Here is a 6000-nt window from a genome sequence, read left to right on the forward strand (position 1 = left end):
TAAACCTTCTATGCTCCTCCTACAGAACTACAGCTCCCAGTATGAGAGAGGAATTTACATTTTTTGAATGCCTTCCCATTTAATTCACTTAATTTAATTTGCAGAGCACACCGTGTGCATTAGGAAGGTGCAGAAACTGAGATCCAGGTTCTGTGGGTTCTTACTTCAGGTTACATGAGTTGCCTGAGATCACACAGGTGGTTTGCAAAAACAAATCAATGCTAAGATGCCATTCATCTGTCAGCCCCATGTGCAGTGGTTCTCAGCCCAAGGAGATTTTGCCCCCAAGGGACATTTGGCAATGTTTGGGGATGGTTATGATTGTCGCTACTTGGGTCGGGGAGGGAGGGTGCCACCGGCATGCGTAGAGATCAGGGGTGCTGCTGAACATCCTGCAATGCACAGGACAGCCCCCCATAACATTTCAAGCATTGTCCAAAATATCAATAGTGCCGAGGTTTAGAAACCCCGTGCTATGGGCACAGTGGCTTACCCCTGTAATCCCAGCACTTTGGGAGGCCAAGGCAGGTGGATCACCCGAGATCAGGAGTTCGAGACCAGCCTGGACAACATGGCAAAACCCCGTCTCTACTAAAAATATGAAAATTAGCCAGGCATGGTGGCAGGCACCTGTAATCCCAGCTACTTGGAAAGCTGAGGCAGGAGAATCGCTTGAGGCGGAGGTTGCAGTGAGCCGAGATCACGCCATTGCACTCCGGCCTGGGCGACAGAGCAAGATTCTGTCTCCAAAAAAATAAAATAAATAAACAAATAAAAGAAAGAAAAGAAAAGAGAAGAAAAGAAAAGAAATCCCATGCTACAACAATTGCAGAAGTAGTGGGGCGGGAATGTCTCTTACTCTGTCTGGGTTATGTGTGTGTTTCCAAGAGAAATGCTTCACTGGAGGTCTGAAGGGAGCTTCAGGAGTGTGCTAGGCCCCGGCTACTCAAACTGTTGTCCCTGGACCAGCAGCAGCTGGGAGCATGTTAGAAATGCAGGCCTCTCCCTGGACTTAGACTTTCAGAACCCGCATTTTAACAAGCTCCCACATGATTCATGTGCTTGTCAAAGTTTGAAGGGGGCAGGGTCTGACTCATTCCAGGGTGGACGGCCCGCAAACCAGCCCTGAGAGATGGGCATTTAACTTGGCCTTAGCTCTCACCAGGGCTAAGACCCATGTCAGGGCTTCAAGGACTGACAGGCTCCCTTGAATCGGCCCTGCTCCCCCTCCTTTGATTGTCACGTGAGCCCTGGTTGCTGGGAAGGAAGAGCGCGTCTGAGCTGGCTTATGATAACCTTTCCTGCTTTCCTCCCTGTCTCATCCCCTCCCCAGGCCTACATCCTGCTGGGACAATTCCTTCTGATGCACAAGAATGAAGCCGAGTTTCAGAGGTGGCTCATTTGCTGTTTTGGTGCCACTGAGTGTGAGGCCCAGCAGACTTCTCACTGCCTCAAGGAGTGGTGTGCCTGCTTCCTGTAGACACAAACCTCATTGCTGCCCCCCACCACCCTCTGGGGAAAATGACGCCTTCTCCACCTATGCCCAGGCTCCGAGTCCTCATTTGTGTTTTTAATTTTAATGATACACTCCCATTATAAGCAGTAGTTCAAGAACATAAAACAGGACAAATGCAAGAGAAATGACTCCCAAACCCACCACCCAGAAACCATAGTCAATCCTCTTAGATGAATATCATGTCAAATATCTTTCAGCAAAAAATTTATATGAAAGAATGGATAATTTTATTTAAAAATAGGAATTGAATTTTAAGTCAGTGTATTGGTCATCTATTGCTGCATAACAAATAGTCCCAACATGTAGCAGCTTCTCAAAACAAACAATGATGCTACCTCACAGGGTTTCTGAGGGTCAGGAACCTGAGGGTTGTTTAGCCAGCTGGTTCTGTCTCAGGGTCTCTCATGAGATTACTCACTGTTGGCCCAGCAGCAGTCATCTGAAGGCTGGACCAGGGCTGGAGGACCCACCTCCAAGATGGCTGCCTCACATGGCTGCTGGCAAGACATCTTGGTTCCTCACCACATGGGCCTTCCCATCGGGCTGCTCGTGGCATGGCATCTGGCTTCCCCCAAAGCTGGTGACCCAAGAGCGAGTGAGAGAGCAAGCAGGAAGCCACAGTGCCTTTTATGACCTCGTCTCTGACACATGCAATATCACTTCTGCCTTATACTATTTGTTAGAAGCAAGTCACTAAGTTCTCAAGGGAGGATAATAAAACATTCTTGAAATAATATGCATACACATTTTAAAAATCACAGTTTCTTGAGGCCTGATTTACATAGAGTAAAACTTACCCTTTTCAGGTGTGCATTCTATAAATTTTGACAAATTCACCAGCATAATCAAAGATGTAAGACACTTTCATTACCCCAGGGAGTTCCCTCGTGCCTCTCTGTAGTCATCACTTCTCCCTTCCCAACGTCTGGCAACCATGAATCTGTTTTCCATCCTTATAGCTTAGATTTTTCCAGAAAGCCATATAAATGGAATTGTATAATATGTAGCCTTTTCAGGTGGGCTTCTTTCACTTAGCATAATTCATCTGAGATTAGTCTATTATACAGGCTTGTTAAACTCAAAAAAAGGTTTATTAGATGCTATTGGTGCCCAGCCCACATCCTGTCGGTATTTGCTATTCTAGTAGAGTCCAGTGACTTCTCCTAGCAAACACTTGAATGTCTTCTGCCTGAGGGTCTCTCTGGCTACAAGAGTGGGATCAGCCCACACATAGGGCAGAGGGGAAGTGGCAAGCAGTTAATGCCCAGTGAAGCCCACAGTGATGGATGAACAGTGATGGATAAATGTCCTGGCTTACCCTGCAGATAGGACAAACTCTGAGACCGTCTGTTTGAGCTCCCTAGTGGTATTGAGCCCTAGTTTCCCACAGCGGTCACCTGCTCTTGAACAGCTCATACTTCTCTCCTTCCTTGTCTTGTTTCCCCACTCCACTACCAGTGTTTCCTGGCATCATCCCCCTACTCCTACTCCCTAGAAAATACTCCAATTTTAGATTCAGGTTCTACTTCTGGGAGAACCCAACCTAAGACCAAAGTGTTGGAATTTAGTTTTATTTTAATGAAAGAAAAAATTGAAACGTAAAGAATTGCTGAAATTTGATGAATTTTTTCTTCATCTCTGGATATAGTCATAAATTATTAATTCAATTTCCTCTGAATTTCAGAATAATATGGAGGAAAAGAGTAAGAGGTTAATATCATTAGGTTTATTTTAAACTCAGGTTTTCAGTGAAAGATGGTGTGATGGCTAATACTGAGTGTCAACTTGATTGGATTGAAGGGTGCGAAGTATTGATCCTGTGTGTGTCTATGAGGGCATTGCCAAAGGAAATTAACATTTGAGTCAGTGGGCTGGGAAAGGCAGACCCACCCTTAATTTGGGTGGGCACCATCTAATCAGCTGCCAGCACGGCTAGAATATAAAGCAGGCAGAAGAATGTGAAAAGACTAGACTGGCCTAGCCTCCCAGCCTACATCTTTCTCCCATGCTGGCTTCCTGCCGTCAAACATCAGATTCCAAGTTCTTCAGTTTTGGGATTCAGACTGACTCTCCTTGCTCCTCAGCTTGCAGACAGTCTATTGTGGGACCCTGTGATGATGTGAGTTAATACTTAATAAACTCCCTTTTCTGTCCCTCTAGAGAACCCTGACTAATACAGATGGTATGAATTCCTGCTATAAAAGTAAAAAGAAATTGATATTCATGATTCTTCTCTACTTCCCTCCCACTTTTATTGGCTTTATTATTACTTTTAATTTGTCAAGGTTTATAGCATTTATATTCTTCCCACAATCGTTTAGTCCTAGTTGTGTATCTAAGAGCTTATCACCAATCCTTGTTAGTATCATTATTTTAAAGTTCATATCTTTGTCATTCCTGAATTATTTATTTTGATAATGTCTTTATTGGTTGACTTACATCAGTGTATCTATCTGTCAGAATAGGCCAAGTTCTGCTTCTGTAACAAACATCTCCCCACATCTTGGTGATTTATCCAACACAGGTTGACTTCTCTCTCATGCTACGTGTCCAGTACATGTCATCAGGGAACTCTGTCTCTTGTAGTCACTCTGAGGCTTTGGTTAATGGAGATACCCTCTCAACACACACTTCCATGATTACCACGGTGGTGGGAAGGAGCCATGCTGAATTACATACTGTCTGTAAAAGCCTCTGTCTCAAAGTAATACATTCTATTTGCACTCACATTTCATTGGCCAAAGGAAATCATATGGCCACACCTAACTCCAAATGGGCAAGGTCCCTTCTGAATGCAGGAGAAGTGGGAACATTTAGTGGCAGCACTAATCAAGACCACTGTCATCAATTAAGTTTATAACTTTTTTACTTGCTAATGTTTTCTTGAAAAAACAGAAACCAACCAAAGTTTATTATTTTTCCCCTGAAAGCCTTGCAGGTATTATGTTTAAGGTGATGAATATTTCCTAAATTCGTAAAGTGATTGGAATATTTCTACCGGAGTCTGTTAGCTCTTTCTAGCTCTGCTTTTCTTGCTCTCTTCAAGGAGGAACCAAAGAATCAAGAATTCCAGGAGAGCCAGTGGGTTGGCCCAAAGATTTAAATAGCTTCATCTTCTGAGAGCTCTGGGTCTCAATAGCCAGAAGCTTTCCTTTGCTCCTTCTTGCATGGCCCACCCTTGGACTAATTCTTCACTGAAATAGTCATGGTATTTAGAGGTAACTAATTTTCTAAGACAGGAGCTGGATGGCTCTAGGGAAAGGAAAGAGAGAGGTACCTTCATCTCTCAGTCTATTTCCACATCCCTCCAAACATTGTTGAAATTCATCCTTCTAGCCGGGTTGATGTCCAGGATCATGTAGGAGGGCCAGGGAGCTGAGAAACCTGGAAGAGATGGGGCCCCCAAGACTGAAAAGCCTTTATAAGAGAGACCCTATCACAGATATTGAAGACAAGAGTAGCTGTTCCCTATTTAGTGTAAAAATCTTCCCAAAGGCACTAGGAACTTTCCCCATCAGTCACTCATTCCCTGGTGTTGATTTTTGTCATCCTTGTAGATAAAATTATTGGTCTAAATTCTTCCCTTCTCCCTGCATTCCCCATGTTTGTCATGTGACTTTGCAGTTCCTCCCACTAGAGGCAGAGTGTAATTCCCAGCTCCTTGACTTAGACTTGGCCATATGACTTGCTTTGGCCAATGGTATGTGGCCGAAGTAAAAGTGTGCTAGTTCTGAGCCACATCATTCATTTCTACTTGCTGTCTTGTGCCTCCAAGAGGAGAGCTACTCCCTTGTATAAATGCTGCCCCTTCAGCCTGGGCTTCAGAATGAAACCAGGTGAAACTGACCTGAGCCAACCTGCTGCCGGGACCCAAGGCCAGCCAGCCCTGCAGCTTGATGCAAAGCCGCCCCACTGAGCCCAGCCTACATCAGCCAACCCTCAGCCAACTCATAGGTTTGTGAAGGAGAACAAAGGATTGCTATTTAAAGCCACTGATGTTTGGGACAGTTGGTTATGCAGCAATATCTAACTGATACATTCTTTGTAGTCTAAAATGTCCTTACCCTGCCAAAGTGTGCCACATCGAAGGCCAACCCAACCTTTAGATGGAGAAGCAGCCTAGGATGCGGTGAAAAACTTTGCTTCTGGAGCCAGCCAGGCATAGCCATTCCAGTTCTGCCAGTCCTTACCTTATCCCGGGTGAGCTACTTCAACCTTGCTGAGCCTCTGTCTCCTCATCTGTAAAATGGGTCAAGAAGGTAACAACCCTGCCTTGCAGGGCGGATCAATGAAAATGCACATGTAGGCTGGGCACAGTGGCTCACGCCTATAATCCCAGCACTTTGGGAGGCCGAGGCGGGTGAATCACTTGAGGCCAGGAGTTCGAGACCAGCCTGGCCAACATGGCAAAACCCTGTCTCTACTAAAAATACAAAAATTAGCTGAGTATGGTGGCACATGCCTGTAATCCCAGCTACTCAGGA

General features: G+C 45.0%; 1 protein-coding gene across 6 annotated transcripts in view; it reads left to right on the forward strand.

Annotated features, from left to right (window-relative positions):
• The window catches only part of BANF2 (BANF family member 2), a 42200-nt gene extending 40660 nt beyond the window's left edge, over positions 1-1540 (forward strand). For all 6 annotated transcript variants that reach the window (NM_001159495.2, XM_005260668.4, XM_011529170.2 and 3 more), the window contains one exon: positions 1334-1540. In NM_001159495.2, coding sequence (NP_001152967.1) covers positions 1334-1480 — 147 coding nt within the window. In that variant the 3' untranslated portion in view covers positions 1481-1540. The remainder of the gene's footprint in view (positions 1-1333) is intronic.
• The last annotated feature ends 4460 nt before the right edge of the window (positions 1541-6000 follow it).

This window comes from Homo sapiens, chromosome 20, assembly GCF_000001405.40.
Source record: "Homo sapiens chromosome 20, GRCh38.p14 Primary Assembly".
In the NCBI taxonomy this organism is placed as follows: Eukaryota; Metazoa; Chordata; class Mammalia; order Primates; family Hominidae; genus Homo; species Homo sapiens.